The following is a 16,784-nucleotide window of genomic DNA, read 5'->3' on the forward strand; positions in this document are numbered from 1 at the left end:
CTCCAAGCCCAGTAATGAGCACAAACCAGGTGAGCAATGAATACTTGTGATTAGGAGCCTACAGTGCACCGTTACTCTAGGAGAGTAACTGCAAACAAAGCGGCAGACGGGGTTCTCGCTCCTCAGGCTTCAGCCCAGAGATCTTATTTATATGCCTGAACAGAGTAAAGGTAAGTCTATTATTATATTTTTATGTTTGTAATATATACTCTGCCTACTTCCAGAAAAGAATGGAGTTGGCTGACAGTAAACAGTTTATAACAAGGCTATTTATATAGAAATAGAAACGGAAAGCCATGGTGAAGGAGGAAGGAGCTAAAATGACGATACCTTGGCTGATGTAATTATTATGATTATACACAGCGTGGAGCTGGGGATGCGGAAGGCTGTGGGACAGGCTGCCCTGGAACATGTAGTGTCTGTCATTTGAAGGAGAAGTGAGGAGAAAGTTGCTCAAATAATTGGATATTGCTTATAGGAGAATAGGATTTGCATAAATGATGTGTGAGTAGGCTGGGCATAGTGGCTCACACCTGTAGTCCCAGCACTACACTACTGAGAGGACGAGGTGGGTGAATAGCTTGAGCTCAGGAGTTCAAGACCAGTCTGAGCAACACGGCAAAACCCCATCTCTACAAAAACAACAACAACAAAAATTAGCCAGCCATGGTGGTGTGTGCCTGTAGTCCCAGCTACTCAGGAGGCTGAGGTGGGAGGATCACTTGAGTCCGGGAGGTAGAGGTTGTGGTGAGCGGTGATTGCATCACTGCACTCCAGCCTGAGTGACAGAGTGGGACCCTGTCTCAAAATAATAATAATAATAATAATAATAATAATAATAATAATATGTAAGTAGAAGCAGAGAGGATTATGGGAACATTTGGGGGTATGTGGCTGTGAGGATCCTGACAACTGCTGCAAAGATGAGCGAGAACTGCAATTTAGGAGGCTGCGGTGGCAAATTGTGGCTTTATTCTTGGATGATTGTGTTTGGTGCTTCTGGGTCAATTTTCAGACAATATTTAATTTTTCAGTGAGATCTATGACTTGCTTAAATGCACCACTTCTTGTAAAAATTATATGATCAGAGCATATACATTTCCATTTTGGCAATAGGTGTTGGTCAGTTAATGTAAAAGGTTTCAGTGTTTCTTAATTATTTAACCTCTCTGGGCATTCGTCATCTTATTTGTATGATGTAGATAATAGCATTTTTCCTATTTTACGTGGTTGTTGAGAGGATCCGATGGAATGACTAGCTGAAAGTGTTTGTAAAAGTCAGGATAAGTAAAGCAATGCTGCAGGAACAAACAATCCCCAAATTTCAGCAGCTTACTACAAAAAAATATGTATTTCTCACTCATGTTCATGTCCAATGTGTGTTAGCAAGGAGATACTGTCTCTCACAGTCATGCAAGACCCCTTGCTGGGGAAGCTGCACCTCCATATATGCTTCTACCATCACCAGGGCAGAGGAGAGGGAGCATGGTGGATCATACACTGGCTCTTAAGACTTCACTTGTGTGACATATGTCACTTCTACTCATGTATCATCGGCCAAACCAAGTCACATGGCCATAGTCTCACTTGAAAAGGGGCAGGAGAAGTGCAAACTTATCATGGGCCCAAAGGAGAAGAGAATCAGAGTATTTCTGAACAGTTTTAATTTTGGCACAGACTTGAAAGTACTTAGAATTAGCTCCAAAAATATATGAATATTTTCATTCTCCAAGCAGCTGTATTTGTATCACAACGGAAGTCCTGAACTCTAAGCTGCAGGGAGCATTACTGATGTCAGAATAGCTCATCAATTTCAACAGGTCAACTCCACGATGTAGCAGTGGTCCAAACTGAAGCCAGTGCACCACTTACTAGCTACTGCAGACAGACTGGAGAAGTCTCACCTCGTGCCAACTCCCACTGATTGTTGGTGGCTTCTGGGAGATTTGTGTAAAGGATTGGTTCTGGGGCTTGTAGAGAAAGAGTTGTAATTGATTAATAATGTCTAACATGGGAACAAGAAGTGGGGAGTGGAAGCCATTGCCAGGCTTTTGTCAACCTTAATCAATCGCATCGCTCAGAGGGCTTCACAGTAGCTGTTGAAAGGATTTGCCTACAGAGATCCATCCTGGGGAGTGGCTTCCAAACTCCTCTCTTCCCAGCGTGCATTACAGGGCCAGTCCACAGCTTACAAAGGACCAGGTTATCTCTGCATTGTCCCAGGTTCAGCCCAGCCTGGGCATCTTCAGTCTTCTTTGGCTGTACCAGGTAACACATCTTTCTAGAGACCCTGAGAGAATGCCATTTTCTGAGTTTCCACAGGCTAGCCAGAAAGGCTGTTAAATAACTCACCCAGCTAGTTCTTTCCAAAAATACCCAGTCCTATTTTTAAAATGGAGGATTATATAATTCTTCAACTGGCCTCACTCATTTCCCTTTTTGCATAGATGCCATGCCTGTCAGAGTGTGGTTAGGAGCTCAGGAAGCCATGGAGAGGCACAGGATTTGAAATCTGCAGTCTCATGAGACAGGAAGTTGATTCCACTCATGGCAGGGTTGGGTCCTGTCTAGTGGATGGTCACTCTTAGGGATGGTTCCAGATGTCTTGCTGGGTTCGGCTTGCTTATGTTTGCTTTAATCAGGATGCCAGTGGTGTGGTTCAGAAGTTGCTTTTCATCTGGGATCTTTGTCATATCCATTAATGTCTTGATCATGACAGGATGTGACCTGGAATGGGAACATTGGTACAATTCCTCAAATTTATGTTCACCAAGACCAATGACAGCACACCCTGAGTATTCCCCCTTTACCCTCTACAGCATTCATAAACAGAAATTGGGGACTTTAATCATTTTAAATGATGGGCTAGATTGCTTTCAGCCTATTTTGTTTTAAGGAGGAAAGAAAGGATCTTCTCTTAGAGAAAGAGGAAGGGAATGGGGGAACATTTATTAAGCACCTACTTTAGGCCCATGCCAGGTATTTCTTATACATTATGACATTGATCCTCATGAATATCCTTGAGCTATGGGTCTCAATAACCCTATTTTGTGGATGGAGGAAACTGAGGCTCAGTTAAGTTGGTTGACTTGGTCACTTGGTCACAATAGGACAGAGTCAGGATTCAAAGGCAAGTCTGTCTGAAACCCCTTGACTTCTGCAGTCAACCAGAGAATTGAATTGTAGACATCTCAAAGTGGCCAGCATGACAAGGGTGGGACAGTGAAGCTCAACCAGCCTTTCTCTTGCCCATGTTAATCTTTGATTCTCGGCTAAGGTCACAGCTCCTGCTCTGGACTGTTCCAGAATTCCGTGGGGCTGTGCAAAAACATGCCACCTCTTCTGTCTCCCTCTCTCTCTGAGTTGGATGTTTCTTTTCCCTGACTGATTTTCCTCTATTTAATCTGGAATTCTCCAGGGCAGTGGTATTCCATGGTAGTGCTGCTACCCAGACTGGTCAGAGGAAAGTGGGCAGCCTGTTCCTTATAAATACCGTGAGTCACATGTCTTCCCAACTGCCAAAAATATTCAAGCAGAGCCCAGTATTCCTTTGGCCTGCATAAATTTCTGAGGACTGGTAGCATAGTGTATCCTTTATATTCATAGATGCGTATGCTCTCCTGGGGTCTTCTTAGCTTAGGAACCTGGTTTTTGATGGGTCAAGGTTTTTTCCTTGATTCATCCAACCTGAACCACAGTCAGGATCATCAGTTACAAGGAGTAGCAGTGGATCACAGCATAGGATGTGGATTCAGGAGGGCTGGCTTGGCTGCTGACTAGCCAAGTGACCCTGAACTACTCCCTCAACTTTCTGATTCTCAGTTTCTGAGTCTGTAAAAGGGGGTAATAATAGTTATTAAGGGCACAGGCCATAGAAGCTGATAGATCTGGATTTAATTCCCGAGGACAGTGAGAACTAGGTAACTGTAGTTAAGTCCCTCAACCTTTTCAAACCTCAGTTTTCTCACCTATTATAGAAAAGAAATTATAATAATACTTAACCCGCTGGGACGCTGTACACAGTAAATGAATGTAAACATGGGAATACTTAGGACAATTTCTGGTATTTAATAAATGTTAAATATGTTTTGAATATTACTGTTTTATGTTATTATTAACTAGTTTACAAGGGGAGGATCAAGTAAACTAAAAATGTGAAAGTGTCTGATACAGAGTTTGGAACCCAAAAGATGCTTCAAAATAGTGAAATTTGCACTTCATCATAAAGATGTGAAACCTTTGAGAAGGCAGTAGTTGGAAAGGAACTGTTCAAACAACTGGCTCTGTGCTGGTTGCTCAGAATTTAGAGATGAGCTTCACTCATCTGCTGGCCCCTTGGAGCACATAATCTCACGGGGAAATAGCTGCTGGCAGGATGGCATTGTGAGGATGCAGACAACTCAGAGGAATGAGGGAGCAGGGAGCATGGGAGACTCATTATTTCCTGGCTTATTGCATTCAGGAACCTTAATTTCTGTTTTATTCCTGGTGGTTTGATCTACCAGTGCTGTCAGTGACCAGAAAGAGAAGCAGAGGTCAAGTTATAAAAGTTCATGTTAGGAAGTTATGACCCATATATAGCCAACAGCTGTGGAAAGCGTTTAGGCAGGAGAAAGGATGAGTACAGGTGCTTTCTAGGAAGATAGTTCTGGCAACTACGTGGATTGGGTAGAAGCAGGTAGATAAAAGCAGGGAGATCGGCAGGGAGGCTTTTTCCATCAACCAGGTGAAAATAATAGGGTCCGAAAATAGAAGAGCATATTCAAGAGGCCTGTGAGAGATGAGTAGACAGGTTCATCCAAGAAGACAGGCTGAAGGGTTGCCACTCAATCAGGGTGTGAGAGGGGACAGTGTGAGGGAGAGGGAATGAGGTCTTTGGGGGAGAAAAGACCTTTGTGTATCCCTTACATCTCTTTCTCTCCATTGGAACTTCTTCTAATGGGCTACTTAGAGGTGCCCATGGGCCATGGAACAAATTGGGGCTGAAAGGAGAAGGAGGACTGCCTGAAGGCACAGCTCTGTGTGGCAGATCCCTGAAAGGGACTCTCAGGACAGTCTCCCCTTGGGATTAGAAAGGTATGCATGTCAGGAGCTCTTGGAAGCACTTGAACTTTCTAGAGGCCGCCATGTTGGAAGGCTGTTGTTTGCCATTGGGCACCTGAAGAGTGACACAGCTGGTTTTCTTTTCCTCCTGGTTGCTGCACCTTGAGACTGTGGTGCTATGATTGGATCAGTTCATCCTCAAGTGGAGAATAACTGGAAGTGTGCCAATGTGTCCCAGTGTTACCTGGGATCTGACAGCCCCTGAAGCCATTGTACATCCAACTGGCTTCGACAGAAGCTCCCAGTCAAGACTGAAACTTTGATGCTTCTTGTGCACAGCTTCCTGGCTCCCCCAGATGTGTTTCCCATCAGTCCCAGTGCCGAGCCCAGAGCCTGGTTTTCTGCAGGCACTCAGAGCATGGCTGTTGACTGAATGCATGAGCCTCCCTGTTGCCTGCCGCTGGGGCTACCACCTCAGAGACCTTGCAGGAAGTGAGGGTGATTGATGTTTGTAATGACCTCATGGTGTTTTGACAGTCTTCTCATATGTGCAGTCACAGCTCTGTCCCTTTCCAACCCAAATCCAGCCTGTGCCAGGCATCAGGTCTCTGAAACGAGGGCCAGGTTCCCCTTGGTGTGGATTCATGAGCCTCCCTTTAAGCTGTCACTGTCCGGTTCTTATGCAGGCTCTGTTTTCACAAGACCCAGTCTTTCTCCTTGATTTTCCACATGAAGGACAGAAAAGATTGTGAATAAGCTCAGAGCAGAAAGCTCTGATCTGACATTAGCAGTGTCAATACCACATTGAAAACAGTGGCTTGCCCAGTGATGGTGAACACTCTAAGGTGGCTCGGTTTTCGTAGGACCAAGCACAGCTGCTTGGCTAACGATTTGGTTTTATTTCCTCCTCTCATGTTGTTTGTGGCATCAAATGAGGATATTTCCACTTTGAGAGTGTCCCTCTCCCCAACGTGGTGCCATTTGGTTTATATGCCTTGATTGACTTCCATCTGCTGCCACACAGGACACCTCCTCACTCTTGAGCTTTTCAAACAGATGGTCAGAAATGAGAGCCAAATTTGAGAAACAGTCAAACGAAGTGAGAACATGGGGCTGGGAGTCCAGGGGCCAGAATCCAGGCTTGGATGAGCTACTGACTGATTGTGTGGTCCTGAAAAATTGCTGAATGTTTCTGGGCATCCGCTATTTTGCATATTAAAATAACAATAACAACAACAACAACAACCCGCAATCCTTTCTTACGCTAAGATTTAAATGGGAGAGAACAGGGTTTCAGGAAGGGAAATGGAGAAACGGTTTGTTTGAATTTCTTGTTTAAATGAGAGTATGCCTCTGTTTACACCCCTGGGGAGTCTCGGCCTGTGTGGTTTTTACAGATATTTGTATGTGTTAATTCCCCTTGAGCTAAACACAAGTCGTTCCGTTGATGGCAACTAGCTTCAGACACAGTTGGAGTCCCCAGAGGGTTGGCCAGGAGCAAAGTGTGTACCCACGTGAGGCCTTTGGAGATGATGCCGTCAGTGAGAGGAATCTGCCCTGGCATTCCAGGGCCAGAATTAGTTGGGGCATGGATGGAGACTTGGGATCCTGTTGTCAACCACAGAGGTCTCCTGATGTGGCTCTGCAGGGACTTTTCAGTCTTAGCTCAGCTTTCCAACAGGTCCACCTTCTCCCCTAGACCCTGGGGACCCAGTCCCTTTCCCCTTCTGTAATCCTCAAACCACCCACGCCATCACTTGGGGTCTCCTGTCCTGAGACTAGATATGAGGAGGCCCCATTTTCCCAACTCAACCCTGATGGTGGGTTCCAGCTACACCAGGTATGGGTAAATCTTAACAGTTTTACTAATTTTTAAGATAGGGAGAGGTGATAAGAATGTTCTGTGAGTTGTATATTTGGACTGAGGTCAAAATGAAGGCACTTCCAGAAGGTGAAATGATGAATACAAGAAAAAAGACGATGGACCTTTCTTTCACATTTACAATATGCCCAACAGAAGGCCAGGTGTGGGAATTCTCTCATCCACCTGTAAACTATCCCTGTCTCACAGATGGGGAAACTGAGCACACCTGTTAAGTGGTAAAGCTGGGATTTAACCCCCAATGTGCAGACTCTAAGACCCCAGCACAGCATCAAGAAGGGGCCTGGTCAATGCACCCCTGAATTTGGCATGTCTGAAGCACTGAACTCTCCCTGCTGTTGGGGCTATAAGTCTTTTCTTTAGCCTGGGACAGCAATTAGGCTTTGTCTTGCTTATCAGCGCAAGTGAGAAAGACCGTGAAGGCACACTGGGGGGCCCTGGGGACGGGTGTTGTGTTTGATGAGTGACATCTGCCTGGAGTTTGAAAAGGGGAAGTGAGGGATGTTTGCTTTATATTTCATGGCTGTGCTATAAGATTCGAGGCAGTCCAGTCCACAGCTGCAGCTCCCCCACCCTCACCTGCTGGTGCTTACCCACTAGTGCCACCTGCTCTTGAGGGTGGCATAGGGTCTTTTCTTGTTTGGGCCTCAGATTCTCATCTTTTGGGCTTCTGGGTGAAACTGTCACCAGGGCAGTCCCCTCTGTCACAGTCTCAGCTGGCATCCCTGAAGAGTTCTGCTTGTTGCTCCTGTCCTCTCCTCTTAAGACCCAAGAGGACAGTCTCCAGCATCCTCTGCTCCAGACCCGCAGCCTCTTGCCCCATGAGCACTTGGAGCCATCCATGTCCCCAGCCACTACACCTCAATTCAACACATTTGGATATTCTGGCCTCTATTTGGAGGGGAGGGGGCAGGAGGTGTGCACATTATTCTGACATCAGCAGCCTGGCCCAACAGGGTGGCCGGTTCTTTAATATTGTCTTGATTCACTAATTACATTTTATAAGTAGTTGGAAAGATGGTTACTAAATAGGAAAGGCTCATTGTCTCTTGTCTTTGATTCTTCCCACCTCTTTGAACTAGGTAGGGTGGGTGCTTATGTTTCTGGTTCCCACATAGTAAGCAGACTAGTTGGGACAGACTCAATAGGCCCACTTTTCTCCAGCTCAGAAAGTGATCTCGCAGGGCCTGTGGCAGAAGCAGTGTTTTCCTATGTTTGGGCTCAGCTTTTATCATCAGATTGGGATATATGAAGTTCTGGAATATTCTTGAGCTGTGAACTGTGAGCTTGAGTAAAATAGATCCTTTGATCTCCATTTGGGTCTGCATGTATTCCCCACCAGCTAAAGAGGGAGGAAGGAGGTGTCATCAGCACCCCAGCCTGCTCACATCTTACCTATGGGCTGTCATAACAAACTTGTGATGTAGGTTTGAGAGGTCTTGATATCACCATTTATAGGTGAAGACAATAACTAAGAGTTAACTGTGTACCGGATGGGCATTGTACCACTATGAAGTGTGTGTGTGTGTGTGTGCATGTGTGCGTAAAACTTCATTTAATAACTCACAACAAACCTATGGTAGCATTACCTTCAATTTATAAATGAGGAAACTGAGGCTCAGCAAGGTTAAATGATGTGTCAAGAAAAACACATAGTAGTGAATAGCTGAACCAGGAAAAAAATGTACAATTCCTAACTTCAAGGCCCAAGCCCTTTCCCCCACCCTCGGTGAAGCAGGCATTATTTTCTCCTCTTATTCTTGTAAATGTTAATAAGAATTTCCAGGACAGGGCTGGGCTAGAAAGTCCTCTGTCTGACCTGCTATTTAAACCACTCCAAATGCTGAGCATTGGCCAAGCCACAGCATGCATGGCCATGGTTCAAACAAGTAAGCAAAGCCATTGCGCCTTCTCATTAGCATTGGGAGGAGAACAAAAGTGAGAGAGGCAAAGTGTCCATCAGCGATTTCACTTTGAAGCCAAGGCCCTGGATTTGCATCTGGCCAGATCTCTCAGATATCATTCAGGGCACAGAATGGGTGGCAAGATGCAGGATGACCCCTCGGGCTTTAAGAATGCTCCCCTTTCCCCAACTAAGATCTGCAGATAGCTCTCCTGTGCTGTTGCTCCGACTGTCCTCTGACCATCACAGACTGCCCGAGGGCACATTTGTCTGTTATTGCCCAGGCAACAGAAACATCTGAGATAAAGAAAAGATTGTGGGCACCTGGCCTTCTCTGTTTGTATGACATACAGACTCACCTTTTAGACTCTCCCACCTACAATTGTACAAATTGTTACTTAGGAACTTCACCATCTGCACGTCTTTCTTCTGTGCAACTCCATCCAATCATTTTCATTCATTTAGTGTTAACCATCTCCTTCTGCATGCTAGGCTGCTTTATGCATGGTAGGGAATTAAAAATATATGTGATCCTACTCTCAAAGATCTTATATTTTAGATAGTGTATTTTCTCCGGATGCTACAAATACTGCATTATTTACAAAACTCATTTGCTGTCAAGTTACCAGTCTGGGCATTTTTGTTGTCTGTTTGGGTTTATTCTGCATGCAGCTCTTTTCTCTCATTTCCCCTGCCGCCTTCCTGGTGCATAGTAACCTTTAGTGGCCTTGGCTTCTATGAGGCTTCTACATCTTGCCTTAGGGTAAGCAAAGGGCTACTTTAGAATAAGCTGGTCAGTACCAAGAATATCACTTAACACTTTTTGGTGCTGTCTTTTGTGGTCATAGCAAGGGTTTTCCTGGATTTTCAGTGTACAAACCAAGTTATAGGTTTATGCAGCAACTCATGATCAGAGCGAGTCTTGCAGAGAACTAAGACCTGAACTTGAGCTATAGTCTCTTGGCTTTTAAATTATGCAGGCCTCAAATTGCAGAGCCTCCACCTTTCGCTGTTATAATTAGGGTATAATAAGTATTATATAATCATATGTGCCAGACTTGGGGCAGAGGCCACAGTCATAGGCAAAATTTGGCCCACAGAAGTCATGCATTTGGCCTTCCAGGGATGGATGCCTTTAACTGTGGCATTCATGCTTCAGTGTGCCCTCCAGTTGGCCACAGTCCCTACTGCTCCTTATTGCCTCTCACCCAGCCTCTCCCTTCATTTCTTAGCTACCTGTTCCCTGATGGGTTTGAGTTTTCACCTTCTGTTTAGCATAACATCCTCATTTAATCCTCTTAATAACTCAAAAACATTTTATGGGTGAGGAAACTGAGGCCCATTTAGAGGTTGTGTTACTTGTCCCAAGTCCTACAATAAGAAGCAGGACTGAGGATGGGTTTACTCTTTCTAAGGTCATAGTTCCTGCCCTTTCACTCCATGGTGCTGCTTCCAACCTGCTTCTTTATCCATTAGACAAATCACTACCATGCACAGCAGTGGGCCAGGTCTCACCTGGGGATAGGTGACGTGTCCCCAGTGATGATTTTGTTCCACCATTTGAAGCACATGATTAACTCAGTTCTTTTTACCTGATATGAGAAAGGGAGAGAAAGAGAGAAAATACCACTCTGTCCCTAAGGTGGTCACCATGGGAGTGAGTAGTGGGAGAAGGGAAACTGGCTTATAAAGAGATACTGCAGTATAGCCTGATAGTTTTCAGTCCAAAGTCAACGACCTGCACAGCATGTTAAACTTCCTGAAGTGGGCGGATCACCTGAGGTCAGGAGTTTGAGACCAGCCTGGCCAACATGGTGAAACCCTGTCTCTACTAAAAATACAAAAATTAGCTGGGCATGGTGGTATGTCCCTGTAATCCCTGCTACTTGGGAAGCTGAGGCAGGAGAAACTCTTGAACCCGGGAGGTGGAGGTTGCAGTGAGCCGAGATCACACCACTGTACTCCAGCCTGGGAGACAGAGCGAGACTCTTTTTCAAAAACAAACAACAACAACAAAAAACTTCCCCCAGGAAAATCCATTGCAAACCACCAAACAGATTATATTAGGAAACATATTCCTTTGCTACTGAGAATTAGGAAAGGATGCATCTACATACCTGAGACTTGGAGAAATTTTGACAAAATTATCATGGAGAGGAGACTAGAGTGAAAAATCTCCTCCCTCCATCTCCCTCAAAACTGTGGAATTCCCAAGCTGGCAAAATTAATTTACTGTCAGTTTATCAGTTTGGCATTCCTGTAGCAAATCTAAATTATCCCCATCTCCCCTTCCCCATCTCTGAAAGATTTGAAACAGTCTCATACCACCTCTGTCAGAATCCTAAGTAGATAGATCCAGTTGAAATATTTGAATGTGAGGCATGAAGGAAAAAAGTCATTATCAAAGGGTTAAAAAAAGGATTTCATGTGAAGAAAAGTGCTTTGGTTTTCCCCAAGACTTCTTAAGAATGCAGGCCGGGTGTGGTGGCTCACGCCTATAATCCTAGCACTTTGGGAGGCCGAGGCAGGCAGATCACCTGAGGTCAGGGGTTCGAGACCAGCCTAGCTAACATGGTGAAACCTCGTCTCTACTAAAAATACAGAAAATTAGCCCGGTGTGGTGGTGGATGCCTGTAATCCCAGTTACTCGGGAGGCTCAGCCAGGACTATCACTTGAACCCAGAAGGTGGAGGCTGCAGTGAGCTGAGATTGTGCCACTGCACTCCAGCCTGGGTGAAAGAGTGAGACTCTGTCTCAAAAGAAAAAAAAAAAATGCCGAATGCCACGCAGCAGTCCCAGAATCCAGAGGTGAAAAGTCTGGTCCAAACATCCCATTGTCCAAAATAATAAGGCAATACACAATTTGAATCATTTGATCATAGAGCTTGATTTGAAAGACATATTTTGAATACTAGAAGGGTTGTTCATTCCTTAGAATAAACCTATGGCTAATCATTTGTAAAGTGAATATTCTTATATAATGAATTTTTTCTGGTGATGTAAATATATACTTCCTAGCCTATTTATGAATTTCACACATGGAGTTTTCTAAAAGCAGGGCGTAGTGGAATTGAATCTTCTAAGAAAAATAGCAGGCACTTTGAGATGACAGGAACTGGTTTTCTTCCTCTTGTTTTTCTCAGTCTGTGTTGTAGGTGCTGTAATTAAAAACCAGGCTTTGGAACAGGTCTCCACTGGAGTGGTCTTGAGTAGACTTACAAATGGCTGCAATGCTTCCAATGGCAGTTGATCTGTGTGAGCCAGGAGTGGGGTAGAAATCTGGGGACTGGAATTTCAGTCTGAGTTCAGGATTGCTCATCTGCAACTGGCAACAATGGCCTCTTCCTCTTTTCCCTGCACAGAAAGTGGTCTGTGAAATTAAAGTGGAGAACAGCTGCTAGGAGCTCATGCTGGGGACCCACAGTGGAGGCCACATTTTGTGATCCCAGAGGGATTCCCAAACCCACCTGACAGCTGCTCCAGGCCTTCTCTGTTCTCCTGATCCCTGCCCTGATGGAGGCCTGACCCATCTGGCCAGAGTGCCTTCAACTCCCACCTTGAAATACCTGTCACCGCCCACATCCCTGGCCTTCCTCAGGACTTAGAGGTTGAGGGGCTTGTCTTTCCCGCTTGGGCCCTTCCCTCCCACTCCTTCCGTCTTCTGGGTTCCTGATACCTGAGCACCCTCATACGATTCCTGATCCTCATTCAGCTGCTGCTGTTGCTCAGCTGATGCCTTTGGGAATGAGATGCCTGCCTCTGCCACCCTTAGCTCCCTGTCACACGGTTCCTCATTAGCTCCTGCTGTCTCACTTCCACCTTTGTGGTTCCACAGAGCCTCTCCTTTTAAAAGCTACCCACATTTTTCATCCTTCTGGACCGCCCTGCCATGTTGGGCACCCCTTAGATCAGTTCTCAAACCATATTCCACGGAACCCTAGGATTTACACAAAGGTTTCTCTGGAGTTTTGAGGAAAGGAGGTAATAAGCTGGTCTTCACCCTATTTCAGCCAGTGCAACTGCTCTTATCAATTAACTACTGGGATGTTATGAGGAGTTTCTTAGAACAGAGATTTGCTGCACAGGCTCTGGGCCTAATGTAGATGCACCTAGAAGGCCTGCTCTGGGGCTGTGCACATCAGAGGCAGGAATTTCTGCAGGTTGACCAAATACCTTTAAGGAGTATTGGGTTTTTATGGGGAGTATAGGAAGGCTGGTAAACCAACGCTTCCTTTATGCAATTTCCCCAAATCTTACTGTGCAAATCTCTTCTCACAAATCTCCAGGCAGTTATCTTGGGACTGATGCTTCTTGACCTAGTACCATAGAAGGGAGGTAGCGGGTGTGTGTGTGTGTGTGTGTGTGTGTGTGTGTGTGTGCGCGCATGTCCTTCCAATAAGCAACCAGGCCACTGCTCCAGAGGTTCTGACCACTCCTAACCCAGTTTTTATGTTATAAGGGGATCTGGGACCGCTCTACACAAATGACTCCTTGTCTCACAATTCCTCATGGGCCAAGTTTCCTGGTCCAGGCTGATGGCTGGTCACTTTTACATCCGCCCATAAACTTCCTTTGTTCAACCCTCCTATTGGTCATTGGCTCAGCATTTTGTAATTTACTTTTTTTCATATTTATCTGTTAGCAACAAGACACAGTTCAACTTCCTGCAGTCATTACTGTAATTAGCATAAAGCAGCAGCCCCTGACTGTGAGCATGATTCCTGTAGTAGCCTGTATCCACAGTTCTTTGTCTCTTACAGTGTCAGACTGAGCCCAGGATGGAGTAAGAGCCAGGACTGGCATGCCCTGGAAGTGCCCTTCTGGTTCTAGGACTGTGATTTCTCTGAGCTGTCTGTCTGCCCACGACTAAGGATGGCCCCAGAGCCCTGGAGCTCAATGGGATCAACCTTCCTATCCCCTCCCTCCTGCCTCGAGGGTACTTTGAGCAGGAAAGGGGCACCTTGGAGTTGCCGGGGGATGAACGTCTTTGTGTTTTTGTTTTTTTTAAGGTGACTCCCTGCATTTTATTTCTTTCATCTTGTGAGCTCTTTGGAAGTCTTTGTGTTAACTGGAAATAAAATTATCTTTATTTTTAAGCTATGTTTTTAGCTTATCTAATCATGACCCCATGGGCTGAGTAATGTTACTAGATAGCAAGGTGTGGAGGATGCAGATGACCTGGTTCAAGCTGTGGTTCTGCTACCTGCTTGTTGTATGACTAGGCACATCTGTTAACTTCTCTGAGGCTCAGTTTCCATACCTGTAAAATGGGGGCAATAATATCTGCTTGTATCCATTAAGTCATTCAACATGTACTGAATGTTTTATGTGTATTTTGCCTATATTAATCATGTACTGGGTCCAGCACTGACCCCCTGGAGTTCACATGTAGGCAGAAGTAAATCAAGAGGCAGTTACCGTGCTGGGAGATTATGTACTGTTAGTTTTGAGAACCTTGGTCTAGCCTTCCAACCTACCTTCCAACCTGGAAATTTGGGAGGTGTGGGAAACGGGTGACCTCAGGAGACTGATAGGACTCCGCGTGTTTGAGAAAGAACTGGCTTTTGGTCTAGGTAGGAGGTAGAGAGCACTTTCCGTGAAGGTGTTGAGGTTTAGGCAAGGTTGTGAATTATAGAACAGGAGCTCTGGAAGGTATCGTGGGAGAGGCTCAGAGAAAGCATGGGTGGCTGGGGGATTGGGGGAGGATAGAGAGAGCCTGTGAGGATGTCTTTCTGGCAGTGTCTAAGGTCACGTGACAAGCAGAGCTCGATGGGCTCAGTGGGCCACGGCACTTCCCAAGCCGCTGATTCCAGTTTCACAGTGGGCACAGGAGTGCAGATTAGGGCTAAGTTGGGGGGACAGGATGCACAGCGTGTTGGCTCAGGATCTCTGGGAGGTGGCACCTGTGACCTGGGCTAATCATGCTACTTTCAGAGTCAAGCAGCAAGCCAATGGGTAGGGAAAGACCAGCCTCTCTGAACTGGGTCCCACGTGGAGATAGTGAATACAGGGCACCGGTGAGCATTCCAGATGACTCCAAAGCCCCGGCTGGAGTATCCAGGTTCCAACTGTATCTCCTTACAGAGACCTGCAGCTCTGTGTGTCCAGAGGGGTTCATGCTGGGCAACTGTGGTGGTGAAGGTCAGGTGTCCTCAAGCTGACCACAAGTCACAGCTTGTTGTCTTTCTTGTCAGAGGGACTCTGGGTGCAGCTGCTGGCCACTGGGCTCATTCAAGGGCGTTAGTGCCAAATTCCTTCTCCCTGGCCTTCCTCACGTTGATCTGTGTACAAATGGAGCTGCAGGGGAAAGGTGGGTTTCCAAAAGGAGTGACAGTGAGGAAGAGACCGAGATAGAAAGAACCTGTTGCAAACATTTCCCATCTTTTGTCATTCAAATGGATACTGTTTTAAGTATCACCTGTTCTGGTCATAAAAGACAAGAATGTGTTTGTAGAAGCTTCTAGGATGCCTGGCATACACCATGCAGGAAGCACCCTTCCAAGTCGGCTGGCCTGCTTTTGTTTTGCAAAATCTGGTTTGAAAATTTTGCACTTTCCATATTTAGCAACATTTCAGTGGGTGTGAATTTATATTGCTACAGCCATGGCTAAAAGTAATTCACTCTTTGATCTATGTTGCCTATGTGTTACTATACAGACAGGACTTCAGGTTTCTGGAGCTTTGGTTTAAAATAAACTCTGTGTGTGTGTGTGTGTGTGTGTGTGTGTGTGTGTGTGTAAGAGAAACAGACAGACTCTAGGGCATTGCTAGTTCCAATTGGTGGGACTTGCTTGTGACCTGTTTGGTCCAAAAGTTGGTCAAAACTGTAGATTTGCAAATCAGCAGGATTCACTCCCGGCTCTCATTTTGATGTTTCAAATGAGTGCATGTTGTGCATTTGAATTAGATCGGAATGAGTTTTGGGGGTCTCACTGAGACACTCATACATGTCAGGATTTGCCACTTTGGAAGCTGGAGGCAGTTAATATGTCCATTAACCCAGGGTATCAAAGTGGCAGCTCATGAGTCAGATGTGGCCTGCAGTTGTTTTGTTCAGCCCATGCAGTCTTTTAAAAATCTGGAAAATTCACATTAAAATCCAGATATTCCAGGTATCTCTTAAGGCTTAACTTTCTCAAAACTCAGTGATTTTAAAGAACAGTGACATTTATCTGTTTCTCAAATCTGTGATGTGGACAGAGCCAACTTGTCTCTGTTCTGCATCAGTTGAGAGGCTGGGGCTGGAAGCATCTGAGGCTCACTCACTCACATGCCTGGCAGCTGATGCTGGCTCTCAACCGAAACCTCCCCAGGGGCTACAGTGGCCTTTCCGTGTGGCTTTCTCACAGCATGTTGGCTGTGTTCCAATGGTGAAAGTCCACAGAGAGAGAGAGAGACCCCAGTGGAAGGCACATCATTTTTCTAAACGACTCTTGGAAGTTACACTTCTGCTCCATTCTGGTGATTAGAAGTCAGTCATTAAAGTTAGTCCATATGCACAGACAGGGGAATTAGACCCCACTTTTTTATGGAAGGACTATCAAAGAATGCAGACACGTTTTAAAACCAACATGCCAATCTCTCACTTCTCTTGGGAAATTCGGGGACCCAGCAAGATGTGGCCTGAGCAGTGGCTGCCCCTGTAGACAGGGCATGGGCCCTCCAGTTTGCTGGGTCCCCTCCACCCACCGAGATATTGCACCCAACCCCTGTAGGCATTTCAGCTTGGGTCTGCCACTCTAGGCTTTCCATATCTGAGGGTTCAGACTCACTTTTCAGCTCCTTCAATTTACAAGGAATTCTCATTTTTGAAACGTAAGAACTCAGAATTTACTCAGAAGTAAATTTTTTTCCTCCAAAGGAATCAGGTTATATCCAAACAGGTGATTTTTCTGAGAACCAAGCAACTCATTACCCATCCTTCCTTTGGGTATCAGAGATGCAGTTTGGAGGGCT

General features: G+C 45.5%; 1 protein-coding gene and 1 long non-coding RNA gene across 10 annotated transcripts in view, besides 1 other annotated feature; one reads left to right on the forward strand and one right to left on the reverse strand.

The window, feature by feature from the left end:
• Window positions 1-16,784, forward strand: part of CEMIP (cell migration inducing hyaluronidase 1) — a 172,402-nt gene that overhangs the window by 37,426 nt on the left and 118,192 nt on the right. The window lies entirely within an intron of this gene.
• On the reverse strand, window positions 1,648-10,634 carry LOC124903539 (uncharacterized). The gene is made up of 2 exons (XR_007064733.1): window positions 10,344-10,634; window positions 1,648-2,727 (listed from the first exon to the last, which is right to left on the reverse strand). It is a non-coding gene; the product is annotated as an uncharacterized LOC124903539 (long non-coding RNA).
• Window positions 14,156-14,846: an enhancer, noted in NCBI's record as "H3K27ac-H3K4me1 hESC enhancer chr15:81123292-81123982 (GRCh37/hg19 assembly coordinates)". NCBI's record gives its function as "activates a minimal SCP1, AML or CMV promoter by ChIP-STARR-seq in naive H9 embryonic stem cells {active_cell/tissue: H9 hESC(naive)}" and the evidence as "EXISTENCE:reporter gene assay evidence [ECO:0000049][PMID:30033119]".

Source organism: Homo sapiens, chromosome 15, assembly GCF_000001405.40.
Source record: "Homo sapiens chromosome 15, GRCh38.p14 Primary Assembly".
Taxonomy (NCBI): Eukaryota; Metazoa; Chordata; class Mammalia; order Primates; family Hominidae; genus Homo; species Homo sapiens.